Below are 23,505 nucleotides of genomic sequence, written 5' to 3'. Positions count from 1 at the left end.
CATAATTCTAATTTCAGATGCATACCAATGAATGAATGTCTTTAGGAACAGGATGGCATCTTCATGACACTTCAGATGGGACCCTCTCTCTTCAGAATATGTTCATAATGAGCTCTCAATGAGCTCGGCATGGAAATAAGTTATCAAATTGCCTTGAACACAGGGAAGGGGTATGCTGCTGTAACACTTTTAGAGTGTCAATATGCAAAAAAAAATTATATATATATATATATATATATATATATATAGCCCAGCTTCACCTGAAAGCAGAGCCTGATACTAGGTTTGCATGCAATTCTAAATAACAGGAGAGCAAGACAAGGCTAGGATTAAGTTATGAAAGGACATAGAAACATTTGAGGCTATGTCAAAGCCACTTACTAAAGCATCCACTTGCTAAGAGCTAATTGCTAGATCTCTTGAAGTCTCTGGACCATCTACTAAGAAACTATTCAGAATTGCATTTTGCATGGAGGTGACAAGGGAGACAAATTAATTCTCATCAACTATAGCCAAAGTTTCCTTCCACAGAATGATAAATAAAAGTCTTTCTGGAAATCTTTTCTCTGCTGTGAGGCTGGCTTAAGGTCAATAGAGCAGCCTCAGCAAGGTAATCAAGATGTACGAGATGTGAGGCAGGAGGCAGGGACCTCAGGAGATGTTCTCTCAGCTTGATTTGCTGGCTTGAAGTTTGGCAATGTCCATGCAGAGCTGGTAATCACAGCAGCCACAGATGAAAATGAGACAGGTATTGATGAGAGGATTCAAACCAACATGTAAGAAGTGACTGATACAATAAATTACAAAAATAAGTATTTGAATAATTAAAATTCTTTTCAAATTCTCCCATACTTTCAGAATAATAATAAGTAAATCCTAGGATATCTAAACTAGGATATAAAATTAAACAGAATATAAAATTAGTAAGTACTTAATATGCAAAAAATGATTGAGAAACCTCAAATATTTGTATTGATCCAGTAAGTTATTTTAATTAGTGTTTTAGTTCCAATTACTTTCTTCATTTTTTTTAAATGTTTGATGTAAGGTTATATTGAAACATGTGGTGTATTTGGGGGTTTTAAATGACCTGAGTTGCTTCTCCATGTGAAGACAGAGAAGTGAGTCTCATCTTTTCACAAGTTGGAAAAGAACAAATAGCAATTTTGGCTGGTTATGTGATGGATGAACTGCATCCTCCCTGAGTCTGTGGTATCACTCTCTTCCATTTGTTTCTGCAGTGTGTTTGATTGCCACTTCAATGCCCTCAACTCTATTTGGTACCATGCTTTGTATTTGCTTTCTCTCAAGTGACTGCAGAAATGGAAGCAGGTGGTATTTCCAATTCCAACAACCACTGTTAAGCACTAACCTCAGGTTCAGATTGCAAATCTGCTACAGGTTGATATTTTTTTCTGGAAAATGGCATGTAACTCCTTCTGCTGCATTTTAAATTGCTGAAAGCTTATTTTATATTTTCTTCTTGCTGTAAAAAAATAGTTTATAAACAAATTAATTGAAGCTAACCTAAATGGCATTTATCTTATTGAGAATATCTATAAAATATCCTTAATCAAATAAATATCACTCCTGATATACTGTACAATTCATCGTTTTAAAATATAATATTCAATGATTTTTGGTATGTTGCATTATTATTTTTTATCTTGTGTTTATACATGTGTGTGTATATACCACATATGTGCATATGTATTCTGTTTTATATATACTTATATAAAACAAAAAGCTGTATAAATATATACGCATATATAAAACCAAATTGCCATTTTAACCATTTTAACCATTTATGAGTGTACAATTCAGTGGTATTAACTACCTTTATATCATGCAACCCCTAACAAATGTTTTCTGCAAAAAAAAAAAAAAAAAAGGATTGACATTAAAGAATTCTAAAACAGAACTACGGTATCTGTGTATTTTTGCATGAAATTTCACAAAGCTTGATCACTGTTCAAGGAAAGAAAAACTTCTGAGAGAATCAATTCTATTATGTTGAAAGTTATTGCAAATTAAGTATATAACTTTTATGCAGAACTTAGTATAAGCAGACACTGTGTTAAGAAATGTATAAACCTTGTTTCATTTTATCATCATTTCACCAATCCAGTAGGGATGCTATTATTATCTCCATGTAGATGACTACTCTCAACAAGGGGGTTTAGAAATTTTCCCTGAAGACAATAAGTAAACAGTGCAGCCAGATGCAAAAAAATGGGAGGCCCAGTACACTCTTCTCTAAGAAGAACCCTGTTACAAAACTTGTACTGTGTTCTCAAAAGTGCCCTCATTCCTTAAAAACACAACTTGGATGTATCAGTTTGCTAAGGCTACCACAGACTTGGTGGCTTAAACAAGAGCAATTAATTTTCTCATAGTTCTAGAGACAGGAAGTCCAAGATCTAAGTGCCAGAAGGACTCTTTTCTTCTGAGTCCTATTTCCTTGGATTGCAGATGGCATCCTTTCACTGCCTTTCCATGTGGTTGCCCCACTGTGTATCCAGTCCTGGTGGGTTTCTTACAAGGACATCAGTTACGGGGTGATGTCCACATAACATGATATATATAAGAATATATATATATATACAGACACATATATATATATTACATATATATGTATATATTCAACTACTTGGCAGTTTGATTAAGGGCTCAGGCAATTCCATCTTGACATTTTACATATATATATGTAAAATATATATGTATATGTATATATATATGTAAAATATATATGTATATGTATATATATGTAAAATATATATGTATATGTATATATGTAAAATATATATGTATATGTATATACATATATATAAAATATATTTACATATATATGTATATATATTTTACATATATATATATGTAAAATGTCAAGATGGAATGGCCTGAGCCCTTAATCAAACTGCCAAGTAGTTGAATTAACCCATCAACATAGCCCTGTCTTTGCATGTCTTATATATTACATGAGATGTAAGACCTTTATGGCTTTAGCCCATAAGGGCTATTTTTAACCCAATCATCTATACTGGGTATTCCGTGATGTGCAATGAAAAACATCCTACATGACACAGAAGACTGGAAAATAAAGACAGGGATTCTGCCAAGAAGTTTGTTTTTGTCTAGGTGAAGGAATTGAGAGAACCAAGATGAGACCACGGATAAGTAAACTTGAGACTTTTTCTTTTTCTTTTCTTCTCTTTTCTCCCTTCTTTTCTAGTCCCTCCTACTTCTTCTTTCCTTCTTTTTTTCCTCCCTCTGCCCCTTCCTTCTTTTTTCCCTAGAGAGAAAAGAATGGAGGCAAGTAAAAGAGATAATAAGAGAAAAGAGATAAAAAGAGACAATGGTGCCACATGCTGAAGTAGTAATAGAGGATACGAAACACTAGTGGAGGAGATAGGATGATGCTGGAGGAGAGAGATGGTCTAATCCTTGAGAAGTTTTGTGGGGGTGTCTAGATCTCTCAGTCTAGAGCACAGATGGAGAGCTTACATAAGACAAAGGATGTTCATTTATTGCAATGACAGAAAGAGGAACTGAGGGGCTTAGAATCTGATAGTTTTATGCATCTGGAAGTTGAAATTGATGATAATTTCAATCTGATTATTTGTTTACCCTGTTAAGCATGAAGTAAAGTTAATGGTTATAACTGATGAATGAGCAGAGAAACTGTAGAGATGAGCAAGGAAGGAGAAGGAATCTGAAAGTCATGCTGACTTTAGAGGTGATTGCTTACTGAAGGCTGTTGTTCTAACTGTAGCTTGGAATGGGGTTCGGCAAGTTGACTTGAAGGGCCGGTGAAACAGGAGTTTATTTTCTCCTGGGTCTGTAGGGATGAGTAACAGACCCAGGGAAACTTGGAGTATCAATGCCAGCAGGTCTGTCACGAGTTTGTATTGTTATTTGTTTACTTTTTAATTATTTTCTTGTTTGCTGAAAAATGACATTCAGAAGATATCTCAGGAAATAAAATGAGTGCATGCTCTATGGAATTTAGAGTAAAAAATGTACAGAATAAAGAGAAAATTATACAGGATGAAAATTAAAGATGTGGTGAATAAAGATGGTATATAGCATAAGATTCTTTTTTTTTTTTTTTTTTTTTTTTTTTTTTTTTTTTTTTTGAGATGGAGTCTCTCTCTGTAGCTAGGCTGGAGTGCAGTGGCGCAATCTCGGCTCACTGCAACCTCTGCCTCCCGGGTTCAAGCGATTCTCCTGTCTCAGCCTCCCAAGTAGCTGGGATTACAGACGCGTGCCACCACACCCAGCTAATTTTTGTATTTTTAGTAGACACGGGGTTTCTCCATGTTGGCCAGGCTGGTCTCGATCTCTTGACCTTGTGATCCACTCACCTCGGCCTCCCAAAGTGCCGGGATTACAGGCGTGAGCCTGTAGGCGTGCCTGGCCTAGATTAATTCTTAGGTAGATAACACATTAAATTTTCTTAAAACAGAGATTACAGTCTCTCTGACTCATAAAGAATGACACTTCGCTGTTTACACCTGATACCTCAGAAGGTTGGATTATTTGAAGTGAGGCCTTCCTTTATCACAAATGGAGGTTCTTTAATTTTATATATTAAGTAAAGACAGTTAACTATAGGATAAGGAAAGGTTTTCTGTTTGGGGTTTTGGATCTTAAAAAGTAGAATAAAGGTATTTTGAACAAGAGTTTTTACAATGGGATTCAAAGAGCAAAAGCAGAGCCTTTGATAGGTGTTTGGTCTTTTTTTTCTGTTCTGAACAGATGTGGGACTATATGTGGGTAGTGTTCAGTGTTCGTATAAAAATGAACAACAATTACAAAGAGCAAAATCTGAATATAATTTTTTATGTGAAGTTAAGCAAATCTGTCCATAGATTTAGCAATGAGAATTATGTCAAGAGACTATGTATCTGAATTGGCTCCAAACACGTAAAAAGAGAGGAAAGATATCAATTATGGTACATGGCATAGGTAGACAACTTCCCAATATGTGATAAAATAAAAATTTCAGAGATTTAGTTCATTCAGTAGACAATTTACCATGTGTATGATATTCAAAGATAAAAAAATCAGATAAAGCAATATTTTTGAAAAAAATAACTTTGATGTGAAAAACCATATCATGCTATTTATTTTGAATGACAAAGACACACAGCAAGTTTGACATTTATTCTGATTTTTCCACAGGATTTGAAAAAAAAACAGTATTTATGAAAAGGTAGCAACCAGTCATAAAATATGGTGCTTCTAGAATGACCTAGAGAGAAAACATCACAGCTTGCTGGTGAAAACCACACAGGCCCTGGGAGGCCTGAGAATATCTACATGTCAGAACATGTGAAGATAGTAATGATTTTTCTCTCTGACATTCCTGACCTTACTGTGGAATCCCAGCCCACAAGGTTGGTCAGAAAAAAATAACTTAATGCAGACGTTTTGAAGACAATATTTACGACTGGTTGATTGACTTCTTTTACATGCAAACACTCTCATGCACTTTTGACTCCTAATAGACCTTTCCTTTTGTTAACCAAACTGCTGTTCCCAGTTAATAGCTGCTTATTGGCTATATTTGCCTATAAATGCTTGTTTGTCCTTTCTAGAAAATAAGATCAACTTTCAAATGATAACAGTAACATAAGTGAACATAATGCAGTCCCTCCTAAGAAAATAAGCTAAAACAATCCCATAGATTATCCACAAATTGAATGAGGGAAGTGATTTGCTTGAATTAACGTATTGCCTTTTAAGATGAGCACCTGAGGATGTAAGGGATTTAAATTTATTAAAAGTTATGGTATGTATGTTAAACCAATATGGTCTTAGTGATTTATAGCTACAACTTATAACCATTGTATAGGAGGAGATTCTGATAAACAAACTCTCTTGTGATATTCAACATACTATTTTTTCCTCACTAAAATTAATAAAGATTTTATTTCAAATAGAATAAATAATGATGAATCAAAAATAGAGACTTGTGTATGTATGCCTCAACTACAAAATAATCTTTTTTTACATGTGTGGGGACATTTGCTTTATTTCGCTTTCTCCCCTGCAACTTTAAGCTCCTACTTTGACTGGTGGATCACAATTACATTTTAGTTTCCTAAAAATTAGCATCATTTCAAAGCCACGGTCTAGTAAGCCATAAACAGTCTGCATATTTACCTTTCTATCATGATGGAAAACAGCCATATGATCCTTTGGGAAATCTTGGAGGAATATTTACCATGTACACTTTTGTCTGTGGTGTTTCCTCAGAGGGTCTTCTGTTTAATCAAGGTGCTCCAGTCAAAACATGGGCTTCAGTCAGAAAGCTGGGGGAGAAGCCATAGCTGCCCTTTATGTTGATTCGGGTCAGGTTTCTAGAGAATGGACCTAGAGTTTTCTCTTTTATGTAGATGAAGTGATATTTTAGCGGGTGTGTCAGAGGTTCTCAAGACCTCCCTCAGGCTCAATGATTCACTGAAAGGATGCACAGGACTCCCAAAAGCTGTTATATTCATGGTTATGGTTTGTTACAGAGAAAAGACAAAGATCAAAAAGAGCAATCTGAAGCCATGGAGAGGGTGAAGTCTAGGAGAAACCAAGAGCAAGTTCCAGGTGTTTCCTTCTCAGTGGAGTCTCAAAGGGGGTGCTTAGTTTTCCCAGCAATAATGTGTGACAGCATGTGTAAAGTGTTGCCAACCAGGGGACCTCACCGGATCCTTAGTGTTCTGGGGTTTTACTGGGGCAAGTCACATGGATATACAGCTCCCACATAACTGACCTCAGCTGCTCAAACTTCACCCTTACCCTCAGAGCAAACATAGGCATTTGCCATAAATCATATTGTTAGAATAAACTCATTTGTTCCAATCCGTACAACAAGACCCAAGGCTTCAGGCATACAAAAACACTCTTGTCAGGCAGAATATTCCAAGGGCTCAGAGATTATCTCCCAGGAACCAGTCAAGGACCAATCCTAAAATAGGCCTTGTTTGGAATGTGCAGTGTTTGAGCAACTGAGGTCTGCTGAGTTAACCTTTTTTGCCCAGTAGATAGTTCATGTGTTTTAGTTTTAGGAACACCATGATCAATTAAGCATTGCAAAGAACTATGTAGGTCAAAATATCCTCACTCTTGCAGCCTATTAAAGTAATCAAACCCACCTGATCTGGACCTTCAGTGCTGGCAATTAGCCCCTGTTACTCTAGCATCTCATTAATAGAAGGACTAAAAAGTGGTTGGAGTGGGTCCTGAGAAGATAGAAATCCCTTTGTAATCCAGCTTACTTTAATGATGTTATTACATGGTCATTAAATTAGGATGTCCTCAGATTTGAGGGTACAAGCTGCTATGCTGGGAATGATATCTCAGAGAGAGTTATGGATTCAAGATTCCCAACTTTGAATACACACAGATGTCTCTATTCTAAGTGTTTTTGAATCTCACTCTTTGCTAAAATATGCCCTTATTTTTACATAAGAAGCATGGCAAAGTAGTGAATTCAACTTCCATTGCAATTCTACAACCAGCAAAATTATCTTTAGGCATGATTCTCATTTAGATTTGGCCTGCATCTTTTTGCGACTGCTTCTTACAACCATTTCTGGTGCCAAGTTTGTATCAACTCATATAGTAAACACTGTTTTTGCAAATTCCTGTACCTTCACATCCTACTATCGTAGTATATGGTGAGTTCAGCTGCCATTTGTTTGAGGGATTTCTCTGGAGGCTAGAAATCTTTCTGCCTACCAGCACAGCTGGCCAGAAAGGTTGCAAAATTAATGCTCCTTTGCAATATCCACCAACTGATGACTGATAAGAATTAGGGTATAAATATCTCACCTTACTTGTCCATTAGCTGAGATGATGCTGAAGTATGTGTTCCACACTGATTTCCAGAGTTCTCCAGGCAGATTTAGCTCCCAGGGTCCTAACTGTCTTGACAAGTCACCGTTTATTGGCTGTTCCTCTTCCTTGGCCAACTTTCTCACAATCCTATTAGTGTTTCTTGAAATCGCCTCTTGTGTCCCCTATTGGCATAAGCAACAGGAAGAAAATAGGCAAACATGAAATGTAGTTTGAATAATTTTCCCCTTCTTAGGCAAGGAAATTATTTCATTTAATTTACACTGTTGACGTAACAAAAATCTTTGAAGCCATGGTCCCTAGCTGTTTTACTTTCCTACTGAAGGAATTAGACAATAAGCTTGGATGACAAGACTGGGCCATGAGTTTGATTGTACAGGCTGTGTTTTAATTCACTGCAGAAATAAAACAAAAATGGCAAAGTATGTGTCCCCAGAGCACTTTGATAATGTAGCCAGTCTTTGAGAAATGTAAAAGAATTTTTAGAGAAGAAACAAAGATTTTTAAATATCTTAAAAAGCATTTGCATGTGATTTAAATTTAACACTTTGCCTGTCTAAAACACTATTTTACTAAGATATGCAGCTGTTAAATCATATAATTTTAATTCAGATCCATTAACTAAATTTATCTTTTCTATGTATAATTTTCCAAGGAAAATTATGTTTTATGTAGTCAAGTACTTACAATAACTTTATTTAATCAAAAGAAATACTTTTCTAAGAAGAATGCAATTGACCTGGCTTAATTACAGAATTAATTGTGATTACCCACAAAACTACTTATACATGCACAAACACACAGGCACAGTACACATATAAATTAAATAAATGCTTATTGTTAATACGTATGGTGCAAATTATTAATATAGAAATGGTTCTTTCCCAATTGCTAAACACAACTGATTTCTTAATACAGTTTCCAAATCAAGGTATCTATAAACATCCCATAGCTACAGAATTCGGGTATCTGGGCTGCAATAGTTGGGCAACCACAAAGTTAGGAACAGGGCCCACATAATGTACCTTCCCTTATAACACCAACTACAAGTTCAGGAAATTACCCAAATGACCCTTGGTTTTGATAATTCACTAGCAGAACTCACAGAACTCAATGAAATTTGTTTTATTCACAGCTATGGTTTATCACAGAGAAAGGATACAGATTAAAATCAGCCAAGGGAAGAGACACATGGGTACAGCCCAGAAGTGATGCAACATGGAGCATTCAGATGTTCTCTCCCCATGGAATTATAGACAGCATTAATTATTGCCAACAATAATGTGTGAGAACATACATAGGATATTGTCAATCAGGGAAGTTCAGCTGAACCTTGGTGGCAGGCATCTTTATTGGTGCTCCATCATTTAGGCATGGTTGATTGTCCATCAGCTGATCTCTTTTTCCAGCCTCTCAGGAGATCAAGCTAACACCTTGTAACTCAAACCACATTCATGGTATGGTTTTTAGTCCCATCCTAAATCACATTATTAGGCTCACAGACAAAGAAAGGATCTTATCATGTATGACATTCCAAGGACTTAGATGTTACCTCCAAGAAGTCAAGGGCAAAGGCCAGACCTCTTTTTGGGCAAAGTTAAATTCTTTACTACACATAGGAGTTTGATATTGGATTGTAAACACTCCCAAGTGATTTCATGTAGCTTGTGTAACACTGGTTTATAAAGCAAGATTTTGAAATCACTGCTTTAAATTACACATCTCTGCCCTACCACAAGCTAGTCTTCAGTATAATTTGCTGAAGAAAATAATATTTGATTCCATACAATTAAATCTGAAAACTGACCCTTTCAGTCTTCTCATGAATTCTTAATTACAAACATTTAAATTAATGATGTGTTGAAACTTTAAAAAAAAATCAGAGAAAAAGTAGAAAATAGAGAAAATGTACAACATGTACATTTAAAAAGGAAATATCATTAATCAAGCCATCTGCTATATTGTCTTATACATAGTAGTTATTTAAAAATTCATATAGCTCATTGGTTTTCAAAATGAGAGGAATAATTAAAATTTAGTTTAGATAATAGTGTTTTTATTTTAAAGGAAAACCTGTGATAGAACTAGTGATCTTAGAAATTATCTTATGCAATGGCAAAGTGATTAAATTAGAATCTGGATAAGTTAGCATATGAAATGACTTACCTAAAATCACATTTTGAATTGGGATTGCACTTAATAGAAGCCTGACTCTACTAGCTTAACCAAAATAAGACTGATTTTCCTCACAGGTGAAGAACTCCAGTGGTAGAGCCCATGCTTTGGGTGAGGGTTTAAAGAAGCCAGTAAGGACTCAGCCCTTCTACCTTTCTGTTACATTATCCTTAGCATGTGGCTTTTTCACCAATGCTTTTGTGATGGCTTCTTCTCTTAGATACATCATACTCAAATTCCAGCCAACACAGAGTAGGCAAAAATAAATAAATAAAAGAAAACACAAAAAACGAAAGACTGAGTCTGACCCTTCCCAGTATAATTTGACTTAAATTGAGTTGCACAAAACTGTGTGCTCTTATCCTCAGACAAGGGAGAAGGAAGTATTGTAACTGGGCACATAAAAAAAATAGTAGAATCTCCAAAAGCTAGGGTTCTGCTAGTTACAGAAAGGAGAGAGTGGATATTGCATATCTTAATGTTTGTCACGTTTCTTTGACGAATAATTATTAAGCATCCCTTTGTCCTAGGCTCAGATTATAAGGTGTTGAAATAAAACAACATAGTGTTGTGGGATTTAGAAGGATGAGAGAGATCTCGGGTTGAAACAGGAGAATCTTTATTGAGTGCACTCAGGCCCAGCTGACTCACATCCAAAACACTAGGCCCAGAACAAAGACAGTACTTGACTTTTATACACACTTCACAAAAGGGGGTGGGCTAGTTTGAAGCAAGCTTACAGTGGCGTGAAAGCAGGGATATAGAGGCAGGACAAAGACAGGATTGCACGTGACTGTTGCCAAGCAACCCAGATGTTCATTATCTAGGTTTGCCTGGGCATGGGCTTATCCTATAACTTTCACTATGGTGCCCAGGAAGCTGTAGTTCAGGCCTACTCAGGCTTCTTATGACCTTAATTGCACTTTGTAGATAAAACAGAATACTTGAAGTCACTAGTTATAGAGAACAGGAATCTATAAACTTATTCCATAAAACAAAGGAAAATTTGTTTTTCTTCTCCCTCTGTAGAGGGAGTGCTGGGAGAGTCTCCAGGGTACATTAGATAATATTATCAAGACTTTTCCTGGGTCTAGGCTGTGCCTGTTGCTGCCTCTAGGACAAGTCAGCCTAATACAGGAAAACTTACTTCTCTTTCTTTTAAACTTTATTTTTTTTAAATTTCCTGCCTCAATAACTCCTAATTCCCACCCTTACAAAATTTATGGTAATGAAAAAAATGTATGGTAAGCTAGTAAGTAACATACTCATACAATTGCAAATTTTGATAAATTGTTATATAAGAAGAAAAACAAATTGTACTGTACAGAATATGTGAGTGTGTATTAGTCTGCTCTCATGCTGCCATGAAGAAATACATGAGACTGGGTAATTTATAAAGAAAAGAGGTTTAATTGACTCACAATTCTACATGGTTGGGGAGGCCTCAGGAAACTTACAATCATGGCAGAAGGCACCTCTTCACAGGGTGTCAGGAGAGAGAATGAGTGCAAGCAGGGGAAATGCCAAACCTCTTATAAAACCATCAGATCTCATGAGAGTCACTCATTATCATGAGAACAGCATGGGGGAAACCACCCCCATGATTTAGTTACCTCCAACTGGTTCCAACCTTGACATGTGGGGATTATGGGGATTACAATTCAAGTTGAGATTTGGATGGGGACTCAGAGCCAAACCATATCAGAATGTTACGGAAGATGTGACCAACTTTTAATTGTGTAATCAGGAAAGAGTTTTTAAAACAATGACATTGCATCTGAGACTTGAGGAGAAGTGTCAGCTTTGTGGAAGGAAGGAAGACAGGCACAGGAGGTGGGAACAGAATGTGTGAAGGCACTGAGCTCTAAGGGGACAGATATATTTCAGAAAATGAGCATAGGAGAGTGTGGCTAGAAGATGACACATGAGAGAGAAAAGCTGTGAGAGAAAGGAAGCCAAAAGTTCCAGTTTCTGTTTACCCTGATTCTCCTATCCTCTTTAAAATACCTAAATTCTGAAATATCCAATAGCATGGAGGAAAAAAATGGTAATGCAGAAATACAGAGTATATGCTTTAGTTTCATAAAAAGGCCCTAAGATGCCTGTGGACTTAGGAAATCTGCAGAGATAAAAATTAACATCTTAGCACTATAAAGTAGAAAAGGTTTTCCCAATATTGAGAGGAAGAGAAAACCAAAATGAGAAAGAAGGAGAGAGATCAGTAGAGCTCAGGATGGCATAGTCATACACATAGAGATCTCATGGAGAGTAACATCTGGTGTTGGCAGCAGAGGACACTCATGGCCCCTAGTTGGCCATGAAGTGAACACTGTGACCCATACATAGAGCTATGGAAGAAGTAAATCAGCACTTGTAGTCTGCCCAAGCTCCATCTGAGCATCTGGCAGGGCCTATGCTCACCATCCTTATCCTTGTCATCCAACAGCTCTTCACTTCTCTTTAGTAAATGTCGCTCATTGATTACCAAGGAGCAATGGACGTCTACACCCTCTGGCTTTGCTCTGCCTAAAAGGTACTGGTCTTTGTACTGAGACACAGCCACTACAACATAATCTCTTTTCTTCTTCATGGTCCAGTGAGAGAGAAGAACCATAAGCCAATGGAAAAAAATAAAGAAAGAATAGAAATTATAAATTCTATGACTGCAACATACTCTCTTTAAAGCCTACTTTTATTCATTCAGTACATGATTATTTAGTGTTTGTTATGAATTAGGCCCTGAGCCAGCCATCCAGGAAGACACATCTCGAGCAGTTGTGTAGGATTTGTGGCATATCATTAAATTTCTTCACTTGTATCTTATTTCCTGTCAACTCTGCTGAAAACTGCCAGCATCTCTATTCCTTACTTTTAGCAGCTTCTTTAGCATTTAATACTTAGTCCTTTTGATCTTGCTTCTATATATTAGCCCATAACACCTCTACAAGTTACACATCTTCTCTTTTGGTATGGTCTGATATCCTGCCTTTTAATTCTGCTGTATCTCTGTCTGCAGGCCATGACAGTTTCTACTGGTTTGGGAAGACATTGTATAACACTACAGCTGATATTTATGCCATTCTGTGTAGTCTCAGACAGAGGATTTTGGCATAATGATCTCTTTAGTTACTTGTTATTCTTGTCACCACTTTATCAGCATCTGTCAGGCAAGGACACATGCCATCTCTGTTTTGTATGACATGATTGTCCTGGGTATCTAAGGGCGATACCACAATCCCCACAGGCAAGCACTTAACACTGATCATGAGTGGGTGCTGAGACCTGCTCATCAACCTTTCATGAATTACAAACATTTCAAGTTGGACTCACATCTTATTTTTAATATGTTTTCAAAATGCCTTGAGATCCTTCAGCATGATAAAATCCTATCGGAGTTAGAGTTGCTTTTGTTGCAATTCTGAGCAATGAAATGCGTTGAGACACCCTTGAGTGACTGTGATAACCATGGCATTTCTAAAGGAAATGCAGAAGCTTTTTATAATGCTGGCTTAGGGGCTATTCAGATCACAAATTCCACACATATATGTAGGTATATATATGTAAATGTATAGGTAAGATTAGATACCAAACAGTTATAAACAGAGATTTAAAAAATGTCTGATTTTATAAGATTGCATTTGATATAAATATAAGATTTCATTTTTATATAAATATATATTTAAATAGCATACTTTTTAAAATGAAATCTTATAAAATCAGACATTTTTAAAATCTCTATTTATTACTCTTTGATATCTAATCTTACCCATATATTTGAAACACAATACATATTTGAAATTTTAGTAATTTCCAAAATAGTATTTTGTAATTGTAGTTGTGTTTGGCCTAAGGGAAATCCAAAGATTAACCATATGGTCTATTTAATTGGTCCCGCGGGTTTTATTCTTCAGAATGTGCATTAATGTAAAAACAGGCAAAGCACAAGAAGAGCAGGAGGCACCAGGGGATAGCCGAAAATGCACTGGTGAGAGTAAGAAAGTTCAGTTCTCAGTCCTATACTTAGTGCCTATACATACATATATATTCACACACACACACATATGTATATATATAATTCATTATTATTTTTAATAAAGACAAAGGATAATTCCTGCTCCCTGCCTTCATTATGATAATTTTTCTGAGAAATGACAACAAAACATGCATGTGAGAATATACATAATAAAATATTATGCACATGGAAGAAATTATTATTATTGTTATTTGCTCAAAAATTGTTAAACACACTTAAGCAAATAATCCAACTAGGGACAGCGTTTAAATTTTACTTATTTTTAATACACCAAAAACATTTAAGTTGAGAAAAATTATTATTTATCCACATATCCATACATTGAATGAGATGTAAAATAATGCTAAATCTGAAAATCATCTTTTTTTGTGGCATACTTTTAGTCCTACTCTACAGTAATTCACCAATTAACTCTCCCTGTCCTTGCAAACAAAATCCAATTTTGTTTAGGTGGCCAGGTCTTGGCCTCAAGAGATAGAATGGGTCCATGCTAATTATGGTTATCTAGTTTCACCTGTGTTGGTGATATGGTTAAGGACTAGACATATGACATAGCTCCGGGAAGGGGAGAAGAGAGAGAGAGGTTGACTCCTGGGCTCTTTGTATTTATTTAATGTTTAATTTAGCAGAAATGGGGTCTTGCTCCATCACCCAGGCTGGAGAGCACTGACACAATCATAGCTCACTGCAACCCAAGCAATCCTCCTGTCCTGGGTTCTTGGTGGCATCAATAAGTCAACAAATCAACTCTTTGACTTCTAATCACTCAATAGCTTGCTAAGTTACAAAAAAAGACCTTAAAGTTTAGGTCAATGTTAGCTGGATTTTGTGTTTCTTATGGCTGAAGGCATCTGAAATCACTGGTGTTCTGATCCTACAGTTTCTGGCTCCCTTAGGCCCATAAACACTCAATGGTTACCTATGAGACCTGGTAGTGTGCTCTTTTCTCTCTGGCACAGTGACTGAAAACTTTTGAAATTATTACTTCCCTGATAATCTGGATCCTTGAGTGACTCTGATAAGCAGAACAATATCATCTAGCATGAATTGAATGTAAGTCTTTGTTACTGCAAGCCACATATATTTTGGACTTTGTTACTGCAGTATAATCTACCTTGACTTGATTGATATGAGACCCTCCCACAAATATGTTGAAATTTTGCCCCTTGTCCCTCAGAATGTGACCTTATTTGGAAGTAGGGTTACCGAAGTTTAATCAGTCATAATTCAAGAAGATGAAGTCACATTGGAGTAGAATGGTTCCCTAACACCTTACAATTGGTGTTCTTATAAGAAAAGGAAAATTTGGAGACAGACACACAAGGAGAATGCCATGTGATGACAGGTATGTTGAACTGTTGCAAATGCAAGCCAAAAAACACCAAGGATGGCTAAAAAAGAAACAAAAACCCTACAAAAGCTAACAGGAGGCAAGGAAGGATTCTTCCTGACTGGTTTCAGAGAGAGCATGACCCTGTTGATACTTAATTTGGGACTTCTATCTTCAGAAATGTAAGGCAATAATTTTCTGTTGTTTTAAGTAACCTGGCGTCCAGTATGTTGTTATGCCAGCCTTAGGGTAATACAATCAGATAAAGCCGTGCTGTTTTCATTGTTGTAGTTATTGTGTTATTTTGTTTTCACTCTTTGTAATCATGACATTAATGTCCTGTAGAAAAGGCATAATGGTCACGCCCATTCCCACATAGTAATTCTTTCAATAGGACTTAGGAAATGTACTCACATAGAGAATCTTTAAAGAAAGCCGATTTTTACAGAGTAGTGACTGATTAGGGGTTCACATAATAGTTTTATGTGACATGGGTGACCAAAGTGATATCTATCTATCTACTCTGTGTATATGTATATGTATGAACGTATATGTATGTCTATACACATATAGTTACATAAAACTACATATACATATATAGTTAAGTAGCCATTTTTTGAGTCATTCATGTAAACAAGTGGTCAAAGTAGTTCAGGTTAGAAATCTCTCAGCCTGGGCTTCCCAGAAGAAAAGAGTCCAGGTTTCCTCAGCAACACATCCCTAACCATTGGCAGCTCCATCTTAGGCGGTGTTTTTCCTAGGACAGATTTCTTGCCTCTTTGAACTACTGTTATTAACACCCTATACTCTTGTCTCTATAGGCACTGAATTTATCTCTGATATTCAATACCTTCTGGACCTCATCCTGGTTTATGCTGACCTAATCACACTCTTCTCTGAGGACCTCCCTTAATTCTCTGGTTCATGCTTACTTCTGATTGCTCCCCTTTTCTTGGATCTATCTGAGAGTAAAAGTAACTCGTGCATTTTGCCATTACCTTGTACTTCTCTGAAAATCATGACATATCCCTCAGTCTTTCCACCAGGGAAGGAGAATTCTAGAATCAAGAAAACAATGTATTTGTTTTTAATTTTTTTTTTTAATTTTAGATCCGGGGGTATATGTGCACGTCTGTTACATGGGTATATATTGACAATGGTGGAGATTGAACTAGTGTACCCATCACCCCAATTGTTTTTTCTTTTGAGATGGTCTAGCTCTGTCACCCAGGCTGGTGGGCAGGGGCATGATCATGGCTTACTGCAGCCTTGACCTCCTGGGCTCAAGGATCCTCCCACCTTAGCCTCCTGAGTAGCTGGGACTACAGGTGCCTGCCACCATGCCCAGCTAATTTTTGTATTTTTTTATAGAGACAGGGTCCCATTATGTTGCCTGGGTTGGTCTCAAACTTCTGAGCTCAAGAAATCCTCCCACCTTTGCCTACCAAAGTGTCTGAATTACAGGTGTTAGCCACTGCACCCGGCTCACCCAAATATTAAACATTGCACCCAAAAGAAAATTCTTCCTCACCCTATTCCCACCCTCCCCACTTATGTAGTCCCCAGTGTCTATTATTTCCATCTTTATGTCTGTATATACCTATTGTTTAACTCCGCCCTTATAAGTGAGAACATGTGATATTTGGTTTTCTGTTTCTGAGTTAGTTCATTTAGAATAATGACTTCCATTTTCATCCACGTTGCTCCATAGGACATAATTTCATTCTTTTTGCATGGGGGAAAAAAGTTTATTTTTGTTTCTAATTCTTAGAGCTACACCTTAAAAGAAGGACTTATTAATAGTTTATAACTAGTTGGATTTTCTGTCAGCAAAAGCATAACAAGAAATAGTAACAAACAAGATAATGTTCAGATATCTGTGATCATGTAACAAAGAGTTATATATTATATATTATAGTTACTATTTTACAGTATTTTGACACAAGACCAAGCCCTAATTAATTGGTCCTTTTTATATACCAATGAGAACATTCAGGATATTAAGTTCATAAATCAAAATTATTCTTAAATGTCATTTTTATTTTCTACGAATGAATATGAGATAATAATTAGATGTTACTACAGAAGATTTTGTGATTTATGTTTGCATGGCAACTTTCTTTGTTGCCGATGTTTAGGAAGTGAAGCCTTCTTCCTGCATCTCAACTTAGACTGAATCATCTAGAACCACAATCTGTGGATGTGGCCTTTCTCTGTTTTCTCAGGACTGAGGTTTCTTGGCCCTTCTTTTATATTCTGATAAATAGGAGTGATATCCAGTTATATCTTTCCTAATTTGAGACCCTGAGAAAAGTGGCCTCTATTGAAGACTAAAATTAATTTTAAAATAGAGAATGTTTGTAATTTATCTAGACAGAAATCAAGATGTTAGAGCTTGGCAGAACGTTACATGCTTCTACTTCCTCTATTAGTTTTAATTTAGATAAATTACTTCAGTGACATTTTATGAAACCTTTATTTTCTAGATGAAGGAAAGGATGTTACTTGGCAAGTGACTGAGATGCCTGTGATTTGAATAGAAGATTTCCTAGGGGTTTCCTGGCATAGGAGTAGCTTAAGATATTAAAGAGGTTTGGCTCAGAGAAGAAATGATTTAGCTATTGCTTATTATTTTACAGGTTTTGTATAAGAAAGACTTGATTTTTTTCTTAAATAGCACCAAAAAAACAGGATGAGGAAAAGAGGGAAATAGTTACTCAAATGATGTGATTTCTGCTTAATACAATAGCATCCTTTTGAAATACTGTACTTCCTTATTATGTGACATGTTCAGATCAAGGATGAAAGACCATTCTTCAGATAATACGAAGATGTTATTCTTTCAATGGATGGGATTTTGGCCTAGAAAGCTACTAAAAGGCCACTGAATGTTCTGTCATTCTCCAAAAGAAATGGCCAAACTATTTAAACTGATAAAGTAATTGCCATAAGTGAAAGGAACTCTGCTGGTGGAATGGGCTTGAAGAGCGCATGTGTGGTCTGAGGGAAAGAACATGGACTTTAGGATCAAAGCCACCTCACTCTGGGGAAGTTTCTATAGGTTTCGCAGTAAAGGTTTCAACATCAATAAAACTAATAATGCCCAGCTTTCAATGTTTGATAATCGACAAAATTGCAGCTATTAATTATAAATTAATTATATGGTAATAGAATGAAATCATGGTCTCAATCAAATGTCATTATATGACAAAAAGAAAAATCAATTGGCAATAGCATCATGACCTTGCTGATTACGTGAGAGTACTCTTTTTTTAATTTAACATTTATTTATTTTTTAAATTTTTATTTTAGATTCAGGAGTACATGTGCAGGTTTGTTACATAGACAGACTCATGTCACTTGGCTTTACTGTTACCGGCACTGTGACATCCACAATTCCCCTGCCCTGTTTAGGCATAGGAGCTCTGTTGAAGTGGAAGAAAATGCTTCTGCTTTGTGCCTGTGTTTATTTTCACTATTGCTCTTTCTTGTCTCTTGTAACAACCAATTACCTAAGAGCAATGTCAGAACAAAGCCAGATTTTAGAAGTTATTAAGCAAATCATTTACAAATTCTTCCAAAGGGCACATAGATGCATACAAATAACTCTACTCGCAAACTCCAAAGTTTCCCAAGTTGAAACTATCATCTTAATCTTGCATTATAGCCAAAGGTGAATGGACCAAAGAACTAACATGATATTGGTTAATACCCATGGGATGTCAACCAAGGAACACAAACTCTGCCCCATTACGTACCTTTGTTCAGTTTGCTTGTTTAAAAAAACTCATCTCTTTCTGTATAACTCTTTGCAATAGTTTTCTCTCTGACTTCGCTTGAAGTTTTTGCTTTGACTTTGTATGAAACAGTTTCAACCCAGGATAGGCAACATTCTTACCCTTAAACTTGTCATCCTAAATGTCATCTCTGACCCTGATCATTCTGTCTCAGAAATCTGGTTCTGGGCCGGGCGCGGTGGCTCACGACTGTAATCCCAGCACTTTGGGGGGCTGAGGCGGGCGGATCACGAGGTCAGGAGATCGAGACCATCCTGGCTAACAAGGTGAAACCCCGTCTCTACTAAAAATACAAAAAATTGGCCGGGTGTGGCAGCGGGCGCCTGTAGTCCGAGCTACTCTGGAGGCTGAGGCTGGAGAATGGCGTGAACCCGGGAGGCGGAGCTTGCGGTGAGCCGAAGTCGCGCCACTGCACTCCAGCCTGGGCGACAGAGTGAGACTCCGTCTCAAAAAAAAAAAAAAAAAAAAAAAAAAAAGAAACCTGGTTCTGTGGGGAAGAGAGAATCTGATTCGCGCTGCTATCTTTTTATGGGCAGCAGAGCTGGGATAGAACTGATGCTTCCTCAAAATGGAGGATTAAGACTATTTGGTGGTTAGGGGAATTGGTAATAGCCCTTCAGTGTTATGGGTAGGGTTTTGCATATATTCGAGTTTGAAAACAAAATAAATGACCAGATCTTGAACATCGGAATTCTTGACCTGATTTCAAAGGCTGAATCAGATTCAAGGCAGAAACAAAGAAAACACATTTTAGGAAAGATCATGCTATATTGTCCTAATAGAAAAATCTAATAGAATAATTATTCTAATTATTTTGGAGAATGTTTTTACAACAGATAAACTTTTTAGAATCCTTGGAATAGATGAGAGAGGATAAATACTTTGAACTGGAAATACTTCTATTTCTAACCTCCAGAGAATCAATAATGCTTGCCTCAATATGATAGTGAATAATGTTTGTCTCAATATGAATATCAGCCTTAAACACCTACATTGTCAAAAGCAAGTCACCTCCTCTCCAATCCTAGCAGTAAATATGAAAATTGAAATAGCTATAAATATATTGATATAGTGCCATGCTCCATATATAATGCAACCTATCAGCACAGTAAATGCATCTCCAGTAAAGAATCCCATTCCTACCAAAAACTAATTACCTTAGATACAAAATTCAATATCCTTTCTAAATGCATACATTTGCACATGAGAATAGTGGTTGTCATTGCAATTTGAGCTTCCACGAAAGCCTAATTTAACTCTAAAACTAGACACATATTCTTTTAAAATTAAGTGGTTTCCAGAATGTCCTATTGAACAAAAATTTTGCATGGGATTTTGCCCATAGTTAAACGCAACTCTGAAAACTGCTTGAGGAGTAAGACTCCTTTACAAAGCCCAGGACTTTGTGCATGTCTGCCCCTAGTTTACTAATCCACACATTTCTTATGCTTAATATAGAAAAAAGAATATGGCAGATATAATTCTAGAATACTAAAAATGTGTAGGTATATGGCCAAAGAAAAAGTCCAGGTAAATTTGCTCTGTGTATTACTATATATGCATACATTTTAAAGTCCCAAACTCTATTTGCACATCACAATCCTGTGAGATATCCAAACCTGTAAGGACCCCTTTTGAATAAATACTGAGTCTTATCTTATTAGTTATCCCTTAGGCCCACACTTTGTTTACATGGCCTCTAAGAATTTGCTACTATCCTAATGTAAAGTGACAAAGAAAGATGACGCTAAGGAAGAGCGGAGATAAGAAATGATATTTTATTCTCATCATATAAAGTAGAAGATAAGCCATTCATCCTGTAGATACTTTTTCTGGGACCTACCTACATTTCTGCCTAGCTCTGAGGTTTCAGGCCCACCCCAGAAAGAAGGAGGCCCCAGGCAGGTCTTTAACCACCAACCACGGGAGAAAATAAACCTTCAATGTTGGAGAATCTCACAGGTACATGTCAATGTACCAAGGGACTGAAACAACTTTTGCCTCTTTGTAAAGGACAGACCTTCACCAGGAGTATAATGTTAGAATCTCTTCCTGCAAGGGTTGGAAAGAGAAAAAAACAAAAAGCAAAAGTTTATGCTTTCCCTAAAGGCCAACAGAAATCAGTTTCCACCAACTGCATTAAAAAATTCTCCAATTGTCTACACAACGTGAAATCCATGAACAAGGACTAGGCGAATTTGGAAAGTCAAATATCTCTTTCAGACCATTAATTAGGAGAATAGGTTGAACGAAAATCAAATTATAATCAACTCAGGAACAAAAATAGTTTTGTTTTCTTTAGGTAAGCCTTTCAAACAGCATTTTGCCTTGAGGAAGTTATATAATTACCCACATATGTCACACAATAAAGAAAGAAATTGCCGTTGGTCATCATTATATTTGAATCTCAGGATAGCTCATAGTTGTAAGTTGCCAGCACAGCATGTATTTTATTAAAAATTTAATACTGTTAAAAACAATATTAAATTAAAAGCCAGGGGCAATTGTCAGGCCACGTTGTGGCCCTCCTTCTTACAATTTCCCTCAGTGTCGAAGTGTTAGACGATGGTAATACTGAACATTTCTTCATCTGTAAGTGATATTTCAGAGGAACTAAAATCAGGTAACATGTTTCAAAATCATTGTGTCAATTAGCTGTTTTGCCACTTCCCTTAGGCAGGTTTATGAAAATGGATATGTTTTAAATACAACTGGCCTTGTATCATGGGCGAAATCTGAAGCTGAAAGTTAGATCATTAATATTTGGTTCTACAGCTTTTACTTAAATCTGTGTAAGATTGACCAAGTCTTCGAGTTTACTTTCTACTTCATCAAATAGATAATAGTAGCTCCTTACGTGGATTATTCTGTGTAACAAATTCATTAGTGTTATGACATAGAATACTAACTATAAATTATTATTCAAATCTTAGTTTTTTTTAGGGAAGCTTAAAAGTTTCATGTCCCACACTGTAAGAAATCTCTACCTACTATTCTCTTGTAGCATTTGTAATTCCACATCATTTATTCTGTTGGGCTAAGGTATCAAAACTTTTAATTCAAAATATAATTTTAGTGTTCATAAGTGATAACTCAATGGCTATTTCAGTAGATCAAAGATTAGGACTTTTGATCTAGCAACGCACATTGATTATGCATAGTTTATGGTAAAATTTGCAAAAATATGCTGTAAAAATATCACGCATGGTAAAAAAAAAAAAAAGAAAAAAAAAGGTAATATAAGCCAAATAGAAATAAAAGTTGCAAACTAGAAACTAGTGTCCAGGGGCAAAAACACGAAATTTGCCAACAATTAAATTTAAATTAAACTAAGTTAAAATTTGCCAACAACTCAAAATTAGGATAATTCTTTTTGTTTTTGTTTGTTTCTTTGTTTGTTTTCAGAGTGCAGTGGTGTGTGATCATGGCTCACTAAAGCCTCCAACTTCTGGGTTCAAGTGATACTCCTACCTAAACCTCCTGAGCAGCTGATACTATAGGTGAGTGCCACGACACCCAGCTAATTTTTTAAATTTATTTCTATCTTTTAGAGCCAAAGTCTTACTATGTTACTCACTCTGGTCTTGAACTCGTGGCCTCAAGAAATTCTCCCATATCAGCCTCCCAAGTCGCTAGGATAATTCTAGAGAAATATGATGTCTAGTTTTTTTTTAATAATTAGATTAGAAAATGTAGAAATACTTGACATGGTTTCCAGAGATCAACCATCCTTAGAAGCTGAGTAACAGGCACAAATTAGAAAGTAGAGGTACACTTTCTAATATGCCACTATCTCCCGTTGTTACCTCTTTCCTTTCCATAAAAGTAAGTTATTTGTCTGGTTCCTGAATTAGAGTCTCTGAATGACAACTGGAAATCTATTAACCCAATTCAACAAAGACACAGAAAAAAGAATAAGAAAATATGAACAAAGTCTCTACAGATTCTAATTGACCCATGTGGGCCACATATTGACCACCATTCTAATGTTTTATGTCCAAAAACATGAGAGCAAGTTAACTATTAGTGGTTATGCAATCTCTCTGAAAATAGCACATTTAAGCAACATGGTAAAATTTTTCTTTACATTGACCACTTACTAGAGTATGCTATGATGAGGCTGGGGTAAGGTGTGGCATGGTGAACTGTCAATATTTGGATCACATACATGTTCACAAAAATTGGTCACATGCCAGAGCAACAGCAGGCCAGGAAAGGGAAGATGTTGTTCATGGGAGCCAAACAAGAGATGCGGGCCGGGCGCGGTGGCTCACGCTTGTAATCCCAGCACTTTGGGAGGCCGAGGTGGGCGGATC

General features: G+C 36.4%; 2 long non-coding RNA genes across 2 annotated transcripts; both read right to left on the bottom strand.

The window, feature by feature from the left end:
- Positions 1-257: 257 nt before the first annotated feature.
- On the bottom strand, positions 258-23,495 carry LOC105374834 (uncharacterized). The gene is made up of 5 exons (XR_940307.2): positions 23,290-23,495; positions 7,831-8,018; positions 6,169-6,317; positions 1,373-1,486; positions 258-711 (listed from the first exon to the last, which is right to left on the bottom strand). It is a non-coding gene; the product is annotated as an uncharacterized LOC105374834 (long non-coding RNA).
- Positions 18,680-19,348, bottom strand: LINC01809 (long intergenic non-protein coding RNA 1809). The gene is made up of 2 exons (NR_146482.1): positions 19,291-19,348; positions 18,680-18,904 (listed from the first exon to the last, which is right to left on the bottom strand). It is a non-coding gene; the product is annotated as a long intergenic non-protein coding RNA 1809 (long non-coding RNA).
- Positions 23,496-23,505: the final 10 nt, after the last annotated feature.

Source organism: Homo sapiens, chromosome 2 (genome assembly GCF_000001405.40).
Source record: "Homo sapiens chromosome 2, GRCh38.p14 Primary Assembly".
Taxonomy (NCBI): Eukaryota; Metazoa; Chordata; class Mammalia; order Primates; family Hominidae; genus Homo; species Homo sapiens.
Note: the sequence above shows the minus strand (reverse complement) of the source record. Positions and strands in the feature narration are given on the sequence as shown.